Here is a 21,589-nt window from a genome sequence, read left to right on the forward strand (position 1 = left end):
TCCCATAGATTCTGGTATGTTGTATCTTTGTTTTTATTAGTTTCAAAGACTTTATTAAGTTCTGCCTTAATTTCATTATTTGTCCAGATGTCATTCAGGAGCAGATTGTTTAATTTCCATATAATCATATGGTTTTGAGAGATCTTCCTGGTATTGATTTATATTTTTATTGTACTATGGTCCAAGTGTAGTTGTTACGATTTAGGTTTTCTTTTAAGAATTGCTTTATTACGAAGCATGTGGTCAGTTTTAGAGTATGTGCCATGTGCAGATAAGAAGAATGTATATTCTGCTTTTGGTGGCAAGTTTTTTGTAGATGTCTGTTAGATCTATTTAGTTAAGTGTCAAGTTAGATTCTGAATATCTTTGTTAGTTTTCTGCCTCAATGATCTGTCTAACATTGTCAGTCGGGTGTTTAATTCTTCCACTATTATTGAAAAGTCTGCTGTTAGTCTGATGGGGTAACCTTTGTAGGTGATCTGCCCCTTCTCTATAGCTTTCTTTAATATTTTTTCTTTCACATTGATTTTGGAGAAGTTGATGACTATGTGTCTTGGGGATGGTCATCTTGTTCAGTATGTCACAGAAGTTCTCTGAATTTCCTGAATTTGAACGTTGACCTCTCTAGCAAGGTTGGGGAAACTTTTATGGACAATATCCTTAAATATGTTTTCCAAGCTGCTTGCCCTCAATCTCAATCCTTCTCTTTCAGGGACACCAATGAGTTGTAGGTTTGATCTCTTCACATAATCCCATATTTCTTGGATATTTTATTTATTCTTTTTAATTCTTTTTTCTTTTTTTTTTTGTCTGATTAGTTAATCTGAAGAACCAGACTTCTAGCTCTGAGATTATTTCCTCAGCTTGTTTCATTCTTCTGTTAATACTTCTGATTATATTATGAAAATCTTATAGTGGGGTTTTCAGCTCTATCAGCTTAGTTGGGTTCTTTCTTAAGATGGTTATTTCTTCTTTCAGCTCTTGTATTGCTTCATTTAATTCCTTTGATTCCGTGGATTGGGTTTCAACTTTCTCTTGAATTTTGATGATCTTTATTGCCATCCAGATTCTAAATTCTATGTCTGACATTTCAGCCATTTCAATCCAGTTAAGAACCATTCCTGGAGAGCTAGTGCAGTCATTTGGAGGTATGAAGACACTCTGGCTTTTTGAGTTGCCAGAGTTCTTGCACTGGTTCTTTCTCATCTGTGTGGGCTGATGTCCCTTTAATGTTTGAAGGTGCTGTCATATATTATACAATGAGATATCATCTCAACCCAGTTAAAATAACTTTTATCTAAAAGACCAGCAATAACAAATGCTGGCAGGGATGTAGAAAACATTTTAACTGGGGTGAGATGATATTTCATTTGGATGGGGCTTTTTGCTTTTATACTCTTTGAAGCCCTTGAGGATCTGATTGTGGTATAAGTTGGGCTCAGCTGACTGGCTTCATTTCTGGACAATTTCAGGGGGCCAAGATTCAGCTCATTACTCCCAGATTGCATGCTCTAACCCTGGGGGCTTGAACCAGGCCCATGTCTTTGTTCTCTGGCCCCTTGAGAATAAGTGTCTGCAGCACTGAAAGGACCAAGGTACTCCCTGTCCATTGGCAACAACACTCTAATGTGGGGTTCTGGCAAAAATGCTTCACTGGGGCAGTGGCAGCAGGGTGCATGTTTGTGCACATGAGCCAGTGGCAACAGGGTGGCAGTGCAGTGAGGTTCTTGGGCGCATGTGCCAGCAGCAACAGACAGTGACAAGGTAGCTGGGTCTCCACATGCATGTGCATCAGCAAATCAGTGAGGGAGGCTGCAAGTGAGTGCAAGCTGGCAAAGTGGTGGGGTGAGGCTGTGGGCAGATGCTTGCTGGCAGGGACCCTTCTGCAGAAGCTCTCTGATGGCTAGATGAGGTCAGCTTGCAAAGGAGCTATGGCAGTGGCTGCTGAGATGCACACAAATTGGAAATCTGAGGCTGTGCTGCAAGCTCATATAGGGGTTGTATGGTCTTCTGCAGCTAGGATTCTAGAGGCCCAAGTTGAGAGTGGGTCACTCCACACCTATTTAACTAATCTCTTCTCCGGGAGCTACTCAGTGCCCAGAATGAGTCCTGGTGCTTGGTAACCCAGTGCAGCGTTCCTAGCTTCCTCTTCCTTCAGCCCAGGGTCTGTGTCCTCCCTCTATCTACTCTCAATGGCTTCCTTCTGAAAATCTGCTCAGTGTGTGCCTGTATTCCTGATGGTCTGGTCTCTTAGTAGAAACAGCTCTTCCTGGCTGTGACTTAGTTGGCAACTTTGGATCTTCCCACATTTTCTTTATTCATTCATCTGTTGATGAACACTCTGGTTGCTTCCATATCTTGGCTATTGTGAATAGTGCTGCAATAAATATCAGAGTGTAGATATTTGACATGCTGGTTTCTATTTTTGGGGAATATACACCTAGCAGTGGGATTGCTGGATCATATGAAAATTCTATTTTTACATTTTTGAGGAACCCCCAAATTGTTCTCTATAGTGAATGTTCTAATTTACATTCCAACCAACAGTGTATAAGTGTTTCCTTTTTTCTACATCCCTACCAGCATTTGTTATTGCCTGTCTTTTGAACAAAAGTTATTTTAACTGGGATGAGATGATATCTTATTATATTTGCATTTTGCTAATGATCAGTGATGTTCATTTCTTTGATTTGCATTTCTCTAATGATCAATGATGTTGAGCATCTTTTCGTATATCTTTGCTGTGCATATATCTTCTTTTGAGAAATGTCTACTCAGATGTTTTGCCCATTTTTAATTAGGTTATTAGGTTTTTTTCTTATAAAGTTGTTTAAATTTCTTACATGTTCTGTTTATTAATCCTTTGTCAGATGGATAGTTTGAAAATATTTTTTTCCCATTCTGTGAGATGTCTCTTCACTTTGTGGATTGTTTCCTTTGCTCTGCAGAAGCTTTTAAATAGCTTTCTTTTTTTAAACTTAATTCAGCCAAAGGTTTGCCAATTTTGTTGATCTTTACAAGATCAATTCAATTTTGTTTTTTACTATTGTTTTTCTTTCTCCATTTTATTTCTGCTCTAATCTTTTTTTTTCTATTTTTTTCTTTCTCCATTTTATTTCTGCTCTAATCTTATTTTTCTAGACTTATTCTTCTTTTTGTGGTTTTTGTGAAGTTATGTTGTTTGATATATTTCTTTTTTAATGTAGATGTTTATCACTATAAAATTTCCTCAGTACTGCTTTTGTTGCATTCCATAAGTTTTGTTATGTTACATTTTCATTTAACTTGTCTCAAGATATTTTCTACTTTTCCTCTTGATTTCTTCAACTCATTAGTTGTTCAAGAGTGTGTTGTTTAATTTCCATGTATTCATGAATTTTTGCTTTTCTTCTACCATTAATTGCTAGTTTCATTCCATTTTGGCTCAAAAATATAGTTGATACAATTTCAATCTTCTTAAATTTGTTAGGACTTGTTTGGTTACATAATATGTGACCTAGTCTGGAGAATGTTCCATGTGCACTCAAGAAGAATGTATATTCTGATGATGTTTTGTGAAATGTTTTGTATGTGTTTGTTAGGTCAATTTGGTCTATAGTGTTAAGTTCTCTGTTTCATTACTGATGGTAATTACTGTCTGGATGGTCTAGCCACTATTGAAAATGGGGTATTAAAATCTCCTGCTATTATTGTTACTATTTCTCCCTTCAGTTGTGCTGTTTGCTTCATATATTTGGGTGCTCTGATATTTGAGGTATATATATATATTTTTTTCATACATACACAAAATTGTTATATCTTCCTGGTGAATGGACCCTTTTATAATTATATGAGTCTTTTTTGTCTCTTTTGACAGTTTTTATGTTAAAGTCTATTTTGTCTAAGTTTGGCCAACACTGTTCTCTTTTGGTTTTAGCTTTTAGTATCCTCTGCATAAAATAGTATCCTTTGCATAAAATATCTTTTTCTATTCTTTCACTTTCAGTTTATGTGTGTACTACATGGAAAATGGATCTCTCATAGACAGTACACAGTTGATTCTTCTTTTTTCTATCCATTCAGCCACTGTATATCTTTTGATTACACAGTTAAATTCATGTACATATAATTATTGATAGGAAAAGAATTACTATTGCTATTTTGTTGTCTTTTGTCTTACAGCTTTGTTGTCCCTCTTTTTATCTCTTCTTTTGTGTTTCCATGATTTTTTTGTAGTGACATGCTTTTGATTCCTTTCTCTTTTTGGTGTGTATCTTCTAGAGTTATTTTCTTTGTGCTTATCATGGGGCTTAAAGTATCTTATAGTTAAAATAATCTGTTTTAAGCTGATAACAACTTCATTTCAATCTCTTACAAATACTCAAGACTTTTACTCTTTACCCTGACACACTGTTACTGTCACAAATTACATTTTATATTGTGTATCAAAGTATTTTTATATTTATTTTATTCTTTTGTCTTTTAATTTCTTGTTTTACCCTATTTTTGCTGCTATAACAGAATATCTGAAACTGGGTAACTGGGTAATTTAGAATAATTAGAAGGTTTCTTTTTGGCTCACAGTTTTGAAGAATGGGAAGTCCAAGATTGAAGGGTCAGCACTTGGCAAGAGCCTTGTTGTATGGTAGAAGGCAGAAGGGCAAGAGGGAGAAAAAGAGGGTCAAACTTACCATTTTATAACTGCACCAGTCCCACCTATGAGGGGGTAACCAACATGGCCTAATCACCTCTTAAGTGTCCTACCTCTTAATACTGTTAAAATGGCAATGAAATTTTAAGGAGTTTTGAAGGAGACAAACATTCAGGTCAAGGCACTTCTATACCAGAATTAGAAGTGATTTATACATCACTGTTACAGGATTACAGCATTCTGTATTTGTCTATATATTTACCTTTACCAGCAAGTTTTATACTTTTATGTGCTTTCATGTTGCTGTTTAGTGTCTTTTCCAAATTGAAGCATGTCCTTTAGGCTTTCTTGCAAGGCAGGTCTAGTGACAAAATCCCTCAGCTTTTATCTATCTGGGAAAATCTTTATTTCTCTATTTTTAAAGGATAGTTTCATTGGATATAATATTGGTAGTTGGCAGTCTGGTTTTTCTTTCAGCACTTTTATTATATCATCACTCTCTTCTGGCCTATAAGGTTTCTACTGAGAAATCTGCTGATAGTTTTATGAAGGCTCCCTTGCATATGACAAGCTACTTTTTTTTTTCCTGGCTACTTGCAAAATTCTTTGACTTTTGAAAATTTGATTACGATGGTCCCTGATTTAAGATGATTCAACTTGATATTTTTGACTTTATGATGGCACAAAAGCAATATACATTCAACAAAAACTGTACTTTGAGTATACATAAAACCATTCTCTTTTTCACATTCAGTACAGCATTTAATAAATTACATGAAATATGCAACACTTTATTACAAAATAGTCTTTGTGTTAGATGATTTGGCCAAACTGTAGGCTAACCATGTTCTAAGAATGTTTAAGATAGAGCAGTCCAAGCTATAATATTCCATAGGTTAGGTGTATTAAATGCATTTTTGACTTATGGTATATTCAACTTATGATGGGTTTATTGGGATGTAACCCCATGGTAAGTTGAGGAGCATCTGCATAATGCATCTCAATGTAGATTTCTTTGGGTTCATCCTAGTTGGAGCTTGTTGGTCTTCTTGAATCTGGATGTCTATTTTCTTCCCCAGATTTGGGAAATTTTCAACCATTATTTCTTTAAATAAGCCTTCTACCCCATTCTCTCTCTTTTCTACTTATGAAACTCCCATAATTTGATTCACTTGATGATGTCTCATAATTTCCTTAGGCTTTCCTCACTCTTTTTGTTTCCCTGACTGGGTAATTTTAAGTGGCCTGTATTTGAGTTCACCGATTCTTTCTTTTCTTTCTTTTTTTTTTTTTTGAGATGGAGTCTCACTTTGTTGCCCAGGCTGGAGTGCAGTGGCACAATCTCAGCTCACTGCAACCTCCGCCTCCTGGGTGCAAGTGATTCTCCTGCCTCAGCCTCCTGAGTAGCTGGGATTACAGGTGCTCGCCACCACATCCGGCTAATTTTTGTTTTTTTAGTAGAGACGGGGTTTCACCATGTTGGTCAGGCTGGTCTCAAACTCTTGACCTCGTGATCTGCCTGCCTCGGCTTCCCAAATTGCTGGGATTACAGGCGTGAGCCACCACACCCGGCCTATTCTCATTTTTTCATGCATCGTTTTCTTGATGTTTTATTTCATCTTTACAACAATTATTTTGAATTATTTGCCAGGTAATTTGTATCACTTCATTTTATTAGATTTGTCTGGAGATTTATTTTGTTTCTTAGTTTGGACGGTATATCACTTTTTTTTTTTTTTTAATGTGACTCAACTTTGTGATAGGATCCATGCATTTGAAGAGACAGCTACCTCTCCCTGTGTTTACACACTGGATTCATACAAAGGAAGACTTTCACCAAGCTAGACATTCTGGGAACTTCCAAAACCTTTTTGGGAGAGATGCAACTTCTCTGGGTCTGTGCACATAATTTCTCAATTAGAGAAGCTTGCCTTTTTTTTTTTTTTTTTTAGCTTGTAATCTTTCTCTCTCTCTCTCTCTGGTGTCTATATGTAGGATTACACATTCTCTGGTCCTACAGTAGCAATCTGCTGCACTCTCACTTGTTCTCAGTGGCCACCAGGAATCCAAAGTATGCTGTTTTCCTGTCAGCACCCTGTATCAGGAGAGGCAGATATCCCTCAGTCCTCTAGAACGTGCGATGCACAGTTCACTTCTTTTTCCCTCTTGAGAAAGAAACCACAAGTTGTGCAGCTCCTGATTATGTTGAGTCATGCCAGCTGCAGCAAGCTGACCCATGACTGTCCTTTGTTCTCAGAGACCCCCCCAGGTATACAAACTATGCTGGTTAAGTCAGTAGTCCGAGAGGCAGAAACCATTCCCTTGGGGCAGCCCTCCAAACAATCAGAATATTGGATGCATGCTTCGCTATTTTCCCTCCCTCCCAAAAGAGAAGCCTCAACTTGCATACCTTCTCTCAATCACACTAAGTCTTTCTGGCTGCAGCAAGCCTCCCTCCACCTGTTTTTGTTCTCAGTGATCCTACTGTCCCACCCCAAGCATCCAAATGATACATGGGGTAAGACAGAAATCAGTCACCAGGTTAGTCTTCCAAAAACCCTGAATGCTGAACTCATGCATGCACCACTCTTTTTTCCACCTTAGAGGAAGTCACAAGCTGGGCTGTTCTCTCCCAGTGCTAAGCTACGCTGACGTGGGTAAAATGAAATTGCTTTTCTTACCTATTCAGTGTGGATATTCTGGTTTTGTTCCTGCCAGGGACAACTTCTTACCTGGATTCTGGAATTCTCCTAAAGGTATTTTGGTTTGCATATTGTTATATCAGTGTTTCTGTGGAGAAACAAGGGCTGGAACTTCCTATTTTGCCATCTTGCTAATGTTACTTCCTAGCAACTCAATTTTTAACTGGGTAGGTTAAGAACTTGTAAGAGATCAAATAAAACATGTTGGACATTCACTATTATAAGTGGTAGAAAATGCACTGATTATGTGAATCAACCAAACTTGGATCAATTCTAAAAATAAAACACTCAGGGAATATGCTTTTGTGAACAGGAAGATAGGGTTATTAATAATCACACTTACTGTATCAGGCTTCAATTTAGGAGTTGAGGAATAATGAGTTTTTCCTATTTACAATTAAGTTTCCAAACTTCCTGGGTCAGCTTTTTTCTTAAGCACTGAAGTGTTCCTGGATAAATGGCCTCTAAGGCACTATAGACCATCATTTTATGAAATTTTTATATATGAATAATGGTGAATGGCAGATGATGGCAAATAAATAAAAATGACACCTCTAGTATACAATTACTACTCATGCTAAGATTTTTTTTTTAAAGAATGTGATTGATCTGCTTTTGTGTTTAATATCTTTAAAAAATTGGTTGGCTAATCTTGAATCCTTATAAATTCTAAATGAGAAGCAGAGGGACCCCATTTTTCCCATAGGAGCCTTGATGATTCTAGATGACTCAAATGAATTCTTTAGTATAGATATCTTTCCTGTCATTCTAATATTACCAGAAGTATGTGAGTCTTTGGATTGAAAAAACATCTGATTCAAATTATAAACACATTTATTCCAATTAATTTTCTTTTACTTGCTGAAATCACCAGTACAGAATACTGGCCACCTCAAGACCACCCCCTTTGCCTTGAGATTATAAGAATTTGTGTCATATCAGAAATCAGACCCCAATCATTCCAGCTCTTTCATGCTCCTGCTGCTACTGCATAGTCCTTTGATTTCACAAACATCATTTAATTTCTTCCAACTCATAAGCCAACTCCTGAGTTTACTTTTTCTCCATTTAGTTGAAATTTATGATGGATAATTTAATTCGATGGTACTCAAAGTAGGCTCGGTGGCCAGCATGGGCATTATCTGGTAATTTGTTAGAAATGCAGAATCTCAGGCACTTCCTGATCTGCATTTTAGAAATTACTTAAAAAGATCCCCATGTAATTTGTATGCACATTGATGGTTGAGAAGCCCTAACGTCAAAATTTCTTCAACCAGTTTCATTAACTCACATATACTTTCTGGGTCAGCTTTGTTCTTAAGCACTGAAGTATCCCTGGATAAGTCACTTTAGATGCCCCCCATCACTTTATGAAATTCTTCCATATGAGTCATGGTGAATGGCAGATGATGGCAAATAAAGAAAAATGACATGTCTAGTATATACATTTGCTACTCATAACATGGTAGTGCTGGTGTAGTTCCACAGCACATTGAAATTACTTGTTCATACTCATCACATCTAAACAATATTTTGTGAGCAGCTATCATTTTATCTTTTTAATCTTAGCAAGATGCTGTTACTAGCATGTTCTAGCAACAGTGTTGTTGAGTTCAAGTTAACTTCTCTCTAGGTCATGAACCAATTAATAAGCTGCTTATGACATAGCAGGATCAGTAACTATTCTAAAATATTTGCATCTTAATGGAAGATTCCTGAAGAAAAATGAATTTAACCTAAATTATTAATAGTAATACTGTGAATTTTTGAGAAGTTGGCTGAGTTGAAAATAATTTTGGGGGCTGTTGGGTGAAATTCACCCCTGATATTTCACGTAGATTCTTTTCTATTTTCCTTAAGTGTCAGCCGTTCTGAGAAATAAAGGGACAGAGTACAAAAGAGAGAAATTTTAAAGCTGGGTGTCTGGGGGAGACATCACATGTCGGCAGGTTCCGTGATGCCCCCTGAGCCGTAAAACCAGCAAGTTTTTATTAGTGATTTTCAAAAGGGGAGGGAGTGTACGAATAGGGTGTAGGTCACAGAGATTCCATGCTTCACAAGGTAATAAAATATCACAAGGCAAATGGAGGCAGGGCGAGATCACAGGACCACAGGACCGGGGAAAAATTAAAATTGCTAATGAAGTTTCAGGCACGCATTGTCATTGATAACATCTTATCAGGAGACAGGGTTTGAGAGCAGACAACCGGTCTGATGAAAATTTATTAGGCGGAATTTCCTCGTCCTAATAAGCCTGGGAGTGCTTCGGGAGACCAGGGCATATTTCATCCCTTAGCTATGATCGTGAAAGACAGCCGTCCCCAAAGCGGCCATTTCAGAGGCTTCCCCTTAGGGTCACATTCTCTTTCTCAGAAATGTTCCTTGCTGAGAAAAAGAATTCAGCGATATTTCTTCTATTTGCTTTTGAAAGAAGAGAAATATGGCTCTGTTCCACCCAGCTCACAGGCAGCCAGAGTTTAAGGTTATCTCCCTTGTTCTCTGAACATTGCTGTTACCTTGTTCTTTTTTCAAGGTGCCCAGATTTCATATTGTTCAAACACACATGCTCTACAAACAATTTGTGCAGTTAATGCAATCATTACAGGGTCCTGAGGCAACATATAACCTTAGCTTACGAAGATGACAGGATTAAGAGATTAAAGTAAAGACAGGCGTAGGAAATCACAAGAGTATTGATTAAGGAAGTGATGTGTCCATTAAATCTTCACAATTTATGTTCAGAGATTGCAGTAAAGACAGGCATAAGAAATTATAAAAGTACTAATTTGGGGAACTAATAAATGTCCATGAAATCTTCACAATTTATGTTCTTCTGCCATGGCTTCAGCCGGTCCCTCTGTTTGGGGTCCCTGACTTCCTGCAACATCTCTCCCTTTCTTTTTATACAAATGTGCCATGCGATGAAGGCTTGTTCGTTCTCTCAATTTTGACGTGGGATTCTTTGACTGGTCCGGCACACTAAAGACAAGCCAATTAAACAGAGAAACATAATTCCAAAATTTACTACAGTGGAGCCCCTAATAGACTTAATCTAAGTTGTGGGGTTTAGTCTAGAATGATTTTCTGCCATCTGATCTAATGCCTCAGCTCCAGGCACAATGGGTAAGTGAACTTGAGAGGCTTCAAAAATTTGTTTCTTTAATTTAGTTATGTTCAATGATAAATTATCTTCCCTACCCAGAAGGTGTCCTTTGACCATTTCCCATGAATGATCAGTCTCGTTATAGGAATATGGGGTGATACAGAAATCCGAAGTATTCCAATCGCACTGCATTTGCATGTGATGTTCGAGACTCACTACCTGATCTCCAAGCCAAATAACAACCTGTCTTAAATCATTAATTTGATTAGCCAATTTTTGATCAATGCCTTGTTGAGAATTCCACATTTGGGTGGAATTGGCTTGCCAATCATTAACAAAATGAGCCATTTGAATAGAATGATGTAACACCATTCTCGCAGTGGTGGCCATTGCAGTGACTGTAATTAGGCCCATGATAACAGCGATTAAAGTGAAAAAAAATCTCTTAGATCTTTTTAGAATTTGCTGTAACACTTCATTAATTAAATGTATTGAGGGGGAGGATTCCCAAGCTCTGGGCAAAGTTACCAGAATCCAGATTCCTTCTCGAGCTTGAACCAGCATTACACTTTTCTTGGAGTCAAAATGGGAGTTAATATAAGTGTATAAATGACAATTAATGCATTGGACAGTTTGATTGTTCATCCAAATTTTGATATTTCCCACTAACAGCATGTAAGGAAGCGTAACACAACTCTGTATGTGAACAGTCAGGTTGGAGGTAAGTGAAGTCGAACGTCTGGATCTACGTTGATACTGAGAGTGGGGGACGGTAGTGGGGACAACAGACATAATAGTTTCCCCTTCCCATACTCACAGTCTAAACATGGCAATAGCCAATTTCTAAAGTTCTGGGTGTTCTGGGCTCAGAATGGGGAGTATCATATGAGGCCTCGTGGGGGTAATGCCTTTATCTTCCCATTTTAAGGGAATGAGCTGAACCTCCTATGCAAAGTAGAATGATGATTCTCATTCTCCCGATAAGAAATAAAATAAGTAGGCTCCAGGCATTCCCTTCCACCAGAGGAGCAATTGTTTTTTAAATAGCCCTTTGGTGCCCAGTCTATTACTAAGCCATATGAGTCATTTTTTAATACTACTCCATGTGAGTTAAAACACAGTCTTCCCAAATTAAAGTTTTAGATGGGCCCTCAAAATTTTTAGGGCATGGTTTTCCTGCAGGTTTATATTGAAAGTATGGGGTATCTCTCATTACTCCACATGCACTTAGGAAAAAAAGACCATGTGGGGCGCCAGATATCAGGTGAAATTCACCCGATATTTCATGTAGGTTCTTTTTTATTTTCCTTAAGTGTCGGCCGTTCTGAGAAATAAAGGGACAGAGTACAAAAGAGAGAAATTTTAAAGCTGGGTGTCTGGGGGAGATATCACATGTCGGCAGGTTCTGTGATGCCCCCTGAGCCGTAAAACCAGCAAGTTTTTATTAGTGATTTTCAAAGAAGGAAGGAGTGTACAAATAAGGTGTAGGTCACAGAGATCACATGCTTCACAAAGTAATAAAATACCACAAGGCAAATGGAGGCAGGGTGAGATCACAAGACCACAGGACCAAGGCAAAATTAAAATTGCTAATGAAGTTTCAGGCACGCATTGTCATTGATAACATCTTATCAGGAGACAAGGTTTGAGAGCAGACAACCAGTCTGACTAAAATTTATTAGGCAGGAATTTCCTCGTCCTAATAAGCCTAGGAGTGCTACAGGAGACGGAAGCTTATTTCATCCCTTAGCTATGACTGTAAAAGACAGCCGTTCCCAAAGCGGCCATTTCAGAGGCCTCCCCTTAAGGACACATTCTCTTTCTCAAGGATGTTCCTTGCTGAGAAAAAGAATTTAGTGATATTTCTCCTATTTGCTTTTGAAAGAAGAGAAATATGGCTCTGTTCCACCTGGCTCACAGGCAGCGAGATTTTAAGGTTATCTCCCTTGTTCTCTGAACATTGCTGTTTTCTTGTTCTTTTTTCAAGGTGCCCAGATTTCATATTGTTCAAACACACATGCTCTACATACAATTTGTGCAGTTAATGCAATCATCACAAGGTCCTAGGCCGACCTACAGCCTCAGCTTACGAAGATGACAAGATTAAGAGATTAAAGTAAAGACAGGCATAAGAAATCAAAAGAGTATTGATTAAGGAAGTGGTAAGTGTCCATTAAATCTTCACAATTTATGTTCAGAGATTGCAGTAAAGACAGGTGTAAGAAATTATAAAAGTATTACTTTAAAGAACTAATAAATGTCCATGAAATGTTCACAGTTTATGTTCTTCTGCCATGGCTTCAGCCGGTCCCTCCATTCAAGGTCCCTGACTTCCTGCAACAGGGGGCAAAGGACTCTTTGTCTTCAAATTTCCCTCCACCTTGCTCATCATCAAGGTAGTCCAAATGAAAGAACTCTGAGTGCTTCTGGGCTGGCTGATTGGCTTTTAAGTTGTCTTCTTCCTATTAGAGTTCTAAACTCCATCTCCATAGATAGAAACTGCAGGCCATATGAGAGACCCAATATACATGAAGTTATGGAATAATGGGAAGAGTAGTTGGAGTGGTGATAGGATTATTATAATACATTTCCTTGCAATTGCTTATCCAGTCACCTGTCTTCACCAGACTGAGTTGCCAGAGTAGAGATGTCTACCTTATGCAAACAGATCCCCTAGCCAGTACCTTGCACATAAAGATAGCATGTTTAATGAATTTTGGGGATAAATGATTTTAAGGCATTGGTCATGGTATGATTAATAAAATGGCATATCTGCATCATAAAAACTGAAAGTGCCAGCAGTTCAGATTGCATCAGCAAGGGAGGGCATGTTTATTTCTGAATGCTGAATCCTGAGTAAACAATATCATCTTTCACAGTGAGCCACATCAGTATTTTCTGGTTTATAAATGCCTTTCTTAATATCCCAGCTCCATCAAAGAGAAATTAGGCAATTGGAACACTATTTTATAAACTGACTTATAATAAAGTCTCGTGTCTCCCTACATGACTAAGTGCCTCACAAATGCTTTGTCTAACACTTACTTGTTGAGTATTAGAACATTAGTTGCAGACTTAATGTTACCATGTTGTAATTTTCACGTGGTTGAAAAGTTAACATAATGTAGAAATGTGAAATTGAACTGGTCGACTATGAGCAGCAGCCCTGCTAAGATCCATTTCTCAATCCTCATTATTTCAGCTCTTGGCTTATTGTCTTTGCTGCCTTCTCCTATTACTCACAAAACTGCCAAATAAGTCCCTGAGGATGCACTAGCACAGGGCTTCTGGACAATAGTGTTTAGACAGTTTACATCATGGGACCAATAAAGCCAATACGTTTGTCATTGTTACAAAAAAAAGATAAAAACAAGCCTGAGTTCTCGTTTTGTTAATTGACCCACAGCTTTAGAAGGAAGAGGGCAAATTTGGATGAGAAACAATGAGAAAGCAAATTTTCAGGGAACTGACTTGTAGGTTTTCAGTTTAAATGATGCTTAATAGAATAGAGAAGACATGAGAATTTTAATAACTTTGAATCCACAGTGGGAACTATCTTGGAAAAAAAGAATGACATAAAAATTATTATTCTTTTCTATTCAGAGAGTGTGAAGAGGAGGAGAAAGGCTGAAGAGGAGGAGAAAGGCTAAGATCTTTTCCAATGCAAAATTAGGAAAAAATATACTACAGGTAAGTCACAAAAAACAAATATTTTGAAGTTTTCTTCATTCATGAGGTTACAACTGTGGTGCAACTTATTGTGCCTGTCATTATTTTTCTCATAGTAGGAGGATAAGCCAGGGAGCGGTAAACTAGAGCTGGCCTTGCCAATGGAAACTAACCTCGTAGAGTTAGCAGGACCTTTCTAAGCATCATTTTGCAATCTCTGTGTGGCCTTTGCAAGGTAGTGTCCTCTCCATGCCTCACTGCCTACATCTAGAGTCTTGATATTACCATACCTTTACTTCATTCAAATGAGAGAAATAAATGTAACTCTGCATTTATCCTCAGTATTATCAGTCACTCAATAAACAGACTTTGGGTATGAAGGACATTTTAATCATATGTACCAGCACACAAATTGTAATTTAGAGATGAAAACAAGTATTTTATAATTTATCAATCTCTGTTGTGGTAAGTCACACTAACTAGCTGTGTCATAAAAAGCAGTGGCACAAAGTCATCCCAAGTGACTCAGCAAAATTTTTCTAACCTCTGCATATATATTTTATAATTATGCCTCATTTAATCCCCCCCTTTTCTATTCAAAGCAGAATTGATCATCAGGAAAATAAATTTCTAGAATTAGGCCTTTAGTTATTAACCCCACAGTAGATTCATATATTATGAGATGGTTAATACATGTTGTTCTTGAAGGCTAGTAGATTCCTCCTAATTCTATAATGATCAGATTTAAAAATATTTTCCTCTTATAAATCTCTATTTTCAGACAGTAGTGCAAATCTTGTTTTATCCAACAATGAAGAAAAAGGAGCAAAGCCTAGGAAACAGGAGTATATATAGGGAAAAAAAACCTTCACTTGCTGTAGGGAGAACCCCCTGAAACTACTGCTACGGAATAAAAGATGAAATGCTCCTGATTATTGTAAATACAAAGTTGCATGCAGGATTGTGTAAAGACAATGCCAGGTTGGACTGCCAGTATGAGCCAACAGCATGTAATGTGCTTCCCCCTGCAGATAGCCTATGAATGGATCTGCAGTCAGGGAGGTTTCACATCATCACCAAGATTCCTATCCCAGAAAAGCAGATATTCATAGCTCTGGGAATGGAATGCGACCCTTGTGGAGAGCCTATAAATGGACGCATGGGGGGGCGCCTGTCCATATGGATAAGATAGGGCTATAAATGCCCTCATCTTGCCATGGCTCTTCTAGGCCTCTTTAGGGTTAAGGCATACTCCCTTCTGAGAATTTCTGGTCTAACCAGTTGTCTAGCTTCACGTCCTATTTCTATGGATTGTCTGTAACCAGCTTTTGCTGCAACTGTTACTGCTGATTAATATCTTGCTAATCATAGGTTATGGAAAGAATGTGTTTCTGTTTTAAGGCTCTGTTAGAAATTACTGATGCACACACTATATTGTAAATTCTTATCCCTGTATACTGTACTTCTGCATACAAATGTTATGTTAAAGCATTACTTCATCCCCACGTGACCATCTCACCTCATAATCAAATGACCCTAAATTCCTCACTAACCTACCCCTGCCCTCACTAAACTTAATAATAAATGCTGGTATATCCAGCGCATTGTTGGCACCGCAGAACCAGAAGGCGGTGACCCCCCTGGACGCGGCTTTCACTATCTTGTGTGAGTCTATTATTTCTCAACCTACCAATCTGCCTGGGAACAAAGAGAGAGCCCCGTTGCATTGCGGGCTGCTGGCCAGATCCCGCAATAACTTGCCATTGAGGGAAAATATTTCTCAAGTTTAAACCAAAGCAAACAAAAAGCACATGATGATATATAGTCCTAATAAAATTTTATTGAGAACTAGTAAGTCAAATACTTTACAGAACATAGAAATACATATGATCCCAGCCTTTCCCATTAAATGACAACATAACATTGGGGTAGTTTCCCTGAATATCCCAAACAGTTTGCTTTATAATTAGAGAAACAGTTCGTCTACAGCTCAATAGTAGAGAAAACACAGGAATGAGGTGCTCTTACTTAGCGGAAGCAGAAATGAAATTGGAATTCAGTGTAAATAATAAAGGACTACAGATGAGTTCTAGCAGCCAAAGGAGTATACATGTAAATAGTCACTCTTCACATTTTCTATTTCTAAAGTAGCTAGTAAAAGGCAGGGCATCGTAAGATCAGACAAAAATTAACCTGAGGACATAGTAGCAGAGTATGTCTCTCAATTCAGTTATTTAGGAAATGTTAATAAAGAAAGTAACCCTAGATCCACTTTTACCTAAAACTCTACCTACCATGAAGGTTTTTGATGCCAAATAATTGGAACTGACATCAAAGATGAAAAGAGAGCCACATGACTCAGGATTAAAGACTGACAACTCAGGCCACACCGCCGTCCATGGTATCTATGGAAATAGGATAATGTTAACTTTTTACATGATGAAAAGTTAACTATTTGCAATTTCTAAATTACTATAGAAACAGAAACATGTGACAGGATAAATGAACACTGCTTGATGACCTTTGACAACCTTTGAAGGTTTTATTACCTAGTCCCTGTATAGAGATAAGAGATGATGGTATTGAGTTTTCTAGGAACCAACTTCTGGGAAAGATTTTTAAAGAAGAAAAATATCTGAGAGAAAAATACAAACTAGAACTGAAACAATGATGCCACTTCCTTTTAAAACTAAGAAGCCTAGTATAAAAGTTTCTTTAGTTACTACCATGTTGTTAGGGGATTGTCTCAGCGTTGTAGGCTTTGCCTGAATTTAAAATCCCATCAAAACTTTTTTGCTCTTAAGCATAAATACAACAAATAGCATACATATAAAATTGTGCCAGTTTAGTAAGTTTTGAAAAGCTTAAAAAAAAACCAAACTCTAATTGTGTTTGTGTGGATGAATTTGCTAACTGATGACAGTAGCTAACCCATTTATGCTGGGGGTTGCAATTTTTTGTGTGAAAAATCAGACCTTGGCAATGACTTTGAGCAGTAGGATGTAAATGACTCCCACAAGCTTAGCATTCCAATAATGGAACACTAGGCATAAATGGGTTAACAAGAATCTTATTTGAAATGTTCTTCTCCCTGCCTTGAAATCTTCCTGGGGTTAAGCATTGCTATCACGATGCTTGGAGAACTGTGATCAAGTCTTCTCTGGCTCAGAGAAACTGTTATTTTTCCCTTGCTTAGTAACGCAGCTAAAAGCATAGGCACAGTAGAGTAAGACATTTAACTAAACCAAATGAGCTTTATTCTTTCAAGCTGAACACCCCAGGCAAAGGCAAATTAGCTTTGCTGTGCACTACTTTTACTTCTTACTGTAAGTGCTGATATCGCTGATTGAAAACTTTCACAAGAAAGGCAGAGCATGCACATGCTTACCAGCAGCACTTCAGCAATCTGAGAGGCACAAGGTAGTGCCAACTTACACAAGTGACAGAAGGAGGAAGCTGATCCTGGAAACTGAGCAGTGGGCTGCTTTTTAAATCCTACTGCCAGTGGCCTTTAAAAGGTCAGTTTCCAATAATATTAGCTCTTTTGGTGCTAAACAGGAGATAATAGGAGACTGCTACCTGCAGGAACCAGTACACACTCAGTGGGGATTTGGTTTGAAGTTCCAATAAAAATAGCATGTTTTTGTGACCAAGAGAGCTGTGAAATAGGCACATTTAAAATACTTAGACCCTGTTATTTTAAAGCTACAATTTTTTTTTGCAAAATCAGTTGCAAAGAGACAAAACAAGCCAGGCAAAGGCAGTAATAGAAAGAGTAGAAGCTGATGAGTCAAAACACTTGAACAGAATTTGAAGCACCAGAGAGTCTTTATCTACTACGGAAAACCTGATTCTGTGGTCTCAGAAACTGATGAATTGTTAAGTCTAGGATACGCAAAGATGCATTTGTTCTAAGCATGAACTCTGGATAATACCTCCTCAATAAAAAGCATTTCTATTAAATGCTTAGTTTAGTGTTTTTGTTCAAGTTATTGGTTAGATAGTATTCCCTTTCTCATCTCCCCTTTTTAAACAGAAGTAGAATACTGTACAATTTAGTGAAAAGACCAAAGTTCAGATAAATTGATAGGAAGGAAAATATTTTATGGCTTATACCAAAGAGTCAGCACTAATGCATAGTCACTGTAAAAACCCAAGTTAAAGTTTAGAAAGTCAGTCAGAGTGGACTGAAATCCTAGGTTAAAGCATATTCATACATAGAAAATTGGCTTCCTGATCTTATTTGAATACTGAAAAACACACATATTTAAATAAAGAGTTCCAAAAAACTCAGATTATTTTAGAGAAAACACAGACTGTTATTGTTAGCTTATCTTAAACTAACCTTCAACTCAGAATTTTCACAATGATCATCATGTTTTATAAGTTTTTGATTAAAAATGTTGGCTTCTGAAGGCTGTATGCCTTACCGACAAAAACAGGCCAATCTGAAAGTATGTTTACCTCTAGTCCAAATAGGCATCAAGAATTTAAAAAATGATATTTAGGTACCAAGTCCAGATTGTAACTCTTGGAATTTTTCTCCTGGAAGCATTTAGTTATATTTCTGTCCCCTTTCAAAATGAACCACCTAGAGAAAAGCAAGTCAGAAAATTGTCTGCCCTCCAGTTGGAGGAAAAATATTAAAGAGAAGTGAAGTGTAATACCCAATAATAGTCACATATTTATCTTTATCTGTATTGAGTTTCTTTTAAACATTTTTAGAACAGTAACAGATGGTTATATTCATAAACTTAAATAAGATTTCCTCCAAGTTCTGGAATATATGTATACAATCTCAAAACACTGTACATATCACTCACTCTCCCTTTAGGAAGAAATGGAAATTAAAGTTAAAAGACTTCCTTGGATACTTCTAAGTAAAAGTAAATGATAATGGAAGGGAACTGAATGAAAGATAAATTCTGAAAAAAGCTAACAAAATCAAGTCCACAGTTTGACTCTTTGTTTCCTTGGAAAGCAACGGAAGCACTTAGCTTGGGTTTGAATATACAGAAAGGGTCATGCAGTGAGTTGCAGGTGGCATGCTATCCTTTCAGAGTTCAAATGCAGGGAACCTGGCTTTTGTGGGGACTAGCAGGTCAGCCAGGAAATATATTGTTCCAGCCATTCCTGAAGAAAGAGAAAGAGGCAAAAGTTATTATACCAAATGACTCCATTTCATAGGATGGTTCTTTTTCCCCCATATCTTTATTGACAAAAAAAGTCACAGCATTTCAGTCTATTCAAACACACAAACATCAACAAAGGGTGCCCACCAGTGATGGCCTCGTCCCTAAGGTCTGGATCAAGGCCGCACTGGAGGGTGGGGGTGTCCTCTTGGCCCTCCTCCTTCGGCATCCTATGGCTTTTTCCTCACCTCACTGACACCCCCCGAGAGCAGTTACAACTCTGCAAAAACGAAGGATGGCTCCATTTTTTAACATTAACAACATTACAATATTAACGGCAATGATTTAAATGAAGTGTGAATCTATCTACGTTTACATACACTGCAGTTCAACATTAGAAGAGATCACTAGTGAGGTGTTCAGCCTTATATCCCGGTGGAAGACTGGAGAAAGAATGGAGCCAGACAAGTTCAAGTCACAGCCCTGCCATTTACCAAACATAAGCTCCTGAGCCTCAGTCTCCTCGGCTATGACATGAAGGTAGTAGTGCCTGTATGTTTTTGCTGAATGATTTATGAGGGCGTCTGCAAAATGCCCAACATGTGCCTGGCTCCATAAAAGGGAGTCACCTGATGACTACCAGTATTGGGACTGTGGTATTACATGTGCTAATTGATTTTTAATATCGATTTAGCATATTAGGAAATAAAAAAGTAGTTTAAGAATAATTATAAAATTTTTTGCTAAAACTTAAATACATTAATTACCAAGCAGAGAAGTAGATGCTGATATTATAGGGCAAATAAATAAAGTGTACAAAATACCTTCAAAGAGAGAGAAAGGGGTGTCTGGTGTTCTGCATCCATGTTCTCCATACTCTAAGCACCATTCAGCAAACTGAAAATGAGACCAAGTTAAATTAGTATAGTGATTTCTTCCAGAGACAACCCCAAAAGTTAAGAGGTTGTCTATACAAATTACTCTGAAAAATCAAACACTACCTTCACATCAGAGAAAGGAGATTAATGCAGAGAAAAGGATGGTTTGAAAGAGTACACAGCATGGGAGGAATTTAATGAGCTGTCTGAGTCACGTATCTACAAGGTTATTCAAGAAGAAAGGCACAAAATCACCCTACATCTTTATTTTTTTCTCCCATTAATGCTGTTGAGTAGAATTATGTCCCTTTAAAGGAATGCTAATTTAATTGAAAGGCTTTTCAAGGTTTTCCTTAAATAACTGTATTTGTTATCCAAGACCTATGGTTTTAGGGATAAATGAATTAAATCAGATGAACTAGAACTCTTTCTACAACCTCCTGGGAGACCTGCTTTTTTTTTTTTTTTTTTTTTTTTTGAGATGGAGTTTCACTCTTGTCACCCAGGCTGGAGTACAATGGTGTGATCTTGGCTCACTGCAACCTCTGCCTCCCGGGTTCAAGTGATTCTTGTGCCTCAGCCTCCAAAGTAGCTGGGATTATAGGCGCCTGCCACCACACCTGGCTAATTTTTTGTCATTTTAGTAGACCATGTTAGCCAGGCTGGTCTCGAACTCCTGACCTCAGGTGATCCGCCTGCCTCAGCCTCCCAAAGTGCTGAGATTTACAGGTGTGAGCCACCGAGCTGCTTTCTATTTGGTGGTTCTGACTCCTACCTTACAGGCCCTATACAGGTACTTCATGTCCTGTGTGAGGTTGTAGAGTGTCAGGAAGGCATAGGCATTCCCTGCAGAACCGTGGCACAGCCCATATCCCTTCTTCAGCAACCCATATTGCCAGATCACATCAGCACACTGATAGGCATCACAGAGATACTTTTCCTCTCTGAATACCTGCAGAGGCAAAGGACACATTTTATTATACGGGATATAAAAGAAAGTTCCATTGATATTCCTTCCTGATAGATAAGAAGGAAAGAGGGAGATGGCTTGGCAAGAAAGGGTAAAGGATTTAGTGACAGAGGGATGTGTTATGTTGCTAGTGACAATTACTAAAATCGACTAGTTTGGCTTTAAAAAAAACTGTGCATGACTTTGGCATGTACAGTCTAAGTTTTCTGCACATGTGTGTATGTTTATGTGGGTGTTACTGAGGAAGCAGCATTATTTAACTTGCAACTTGCTCTTATCATGAGTGACTTTCCAAAGAACACATGCTATCTTCTTTGTAACTCTGATGCCCTCTTCACTATTAGGAAGTTTCTTTACACACTGGAGAAGAACAACTGTTCTTTATTAAATATGCAGTCAGAAAAATAGAGATAGACCTTTACAATCTTTTACTGCCTCCTATATCTTCATCAAAGACTTAGGAAATATTCTGAGTAGATATTTTTAATATCTCATTGCAACCTAA

The 21,589-nt window shown here is 37.7% G+C and overlaps 1 protein-coding gene and 1 long non-coding RNA gene across 7 annotated transcripts in view, besides 1 other annotated feature; one reads left to right on the forward strand and one right to left on the reverse strand.

Moving 5' to 3' along the window:
• LANCL1-AS1 (LANCL1 antisense RNA 1) overlaps positions 1 to 21,589 on the forward strand; it is a 145,622-nt gene that overhangs the window by 90,615 nt on the left and 33,418 nt on the right. For all 3 annotated transcript variants that reach the window (NR_110604.1, NR_110605.1, NR_110606.1), the window contains exon 2: positions 14,039 to 14,125. This is a non-coding gene — a long non-coding RNA (LANCL1 antisense RNA 1). The remainder of the gene's footprint in view (positions 1 to 14,038; positions 14,126 to 21,589) is intronic.
• Positions 13,996 to 15,195: an enhancer, noted in NCBI's record as "MED14-independent group 3 enhancer chr2:211294046-211295245 (GRCh37/hg19 assembly coordinates)". NCBI's record gives its function as "activates an origin of replication core promoter dependent on BRD2, BRD4, P300/CBP and CDK7 cofactors, and independent of MED14, by STARR-seq in HCT116 cells {active_cell/tissue: HCT116}" and the evidence as "EXISTENCE:reporter gene assay evidence [ECO:0000049][PMID:35650434]".
• LANCL1 (LanC like glutathione S-transferase 1) overlaps positions 15,925 to 21,589 on the reverse strand; it is a 46,334-nt gene continuing 40,669 nt past the window's right edge. For all 4 annotated transcript variants that reach the window (XM_005246243.3, NM_001136575.2, NM_001136574.2 and 1 more), the window contains exons 8-10: positions 20,890 to 21,066; positions 20,061 to 20,133; positions 15,925 to 19,237 (exon numbers count right to left, since the gene is read on the reverse strand). In XM_005246243.3, the coding sequence (XP_005246300.1) occupies positions 19,161 to 19,237; positions 20,061 to 20,133; positions 20,890 to 21,066 (327 nt within the window). In that variant the 3' untranslated portion in view covers positions 15,925 to 19,160. The remainder of the gene's footprint in view (positions 19,238 to 20,060; positions 20,134 to 20,889; positions 21,067 to 21,589) is intronic.

Source organism: Homo sapiens, chromosome 2 (genome assembly GCF_000001405.40).
Source record: "Homo sapiens chromosome 2, GRCh38.p14 Primary Assembly".
Taxonomy (NCBI): domain Eukaryota; kingdom Metazoa; phylum Chordata; class Mammalia; order Primates; family Hominidae; genus Homo; species Homo sapiens.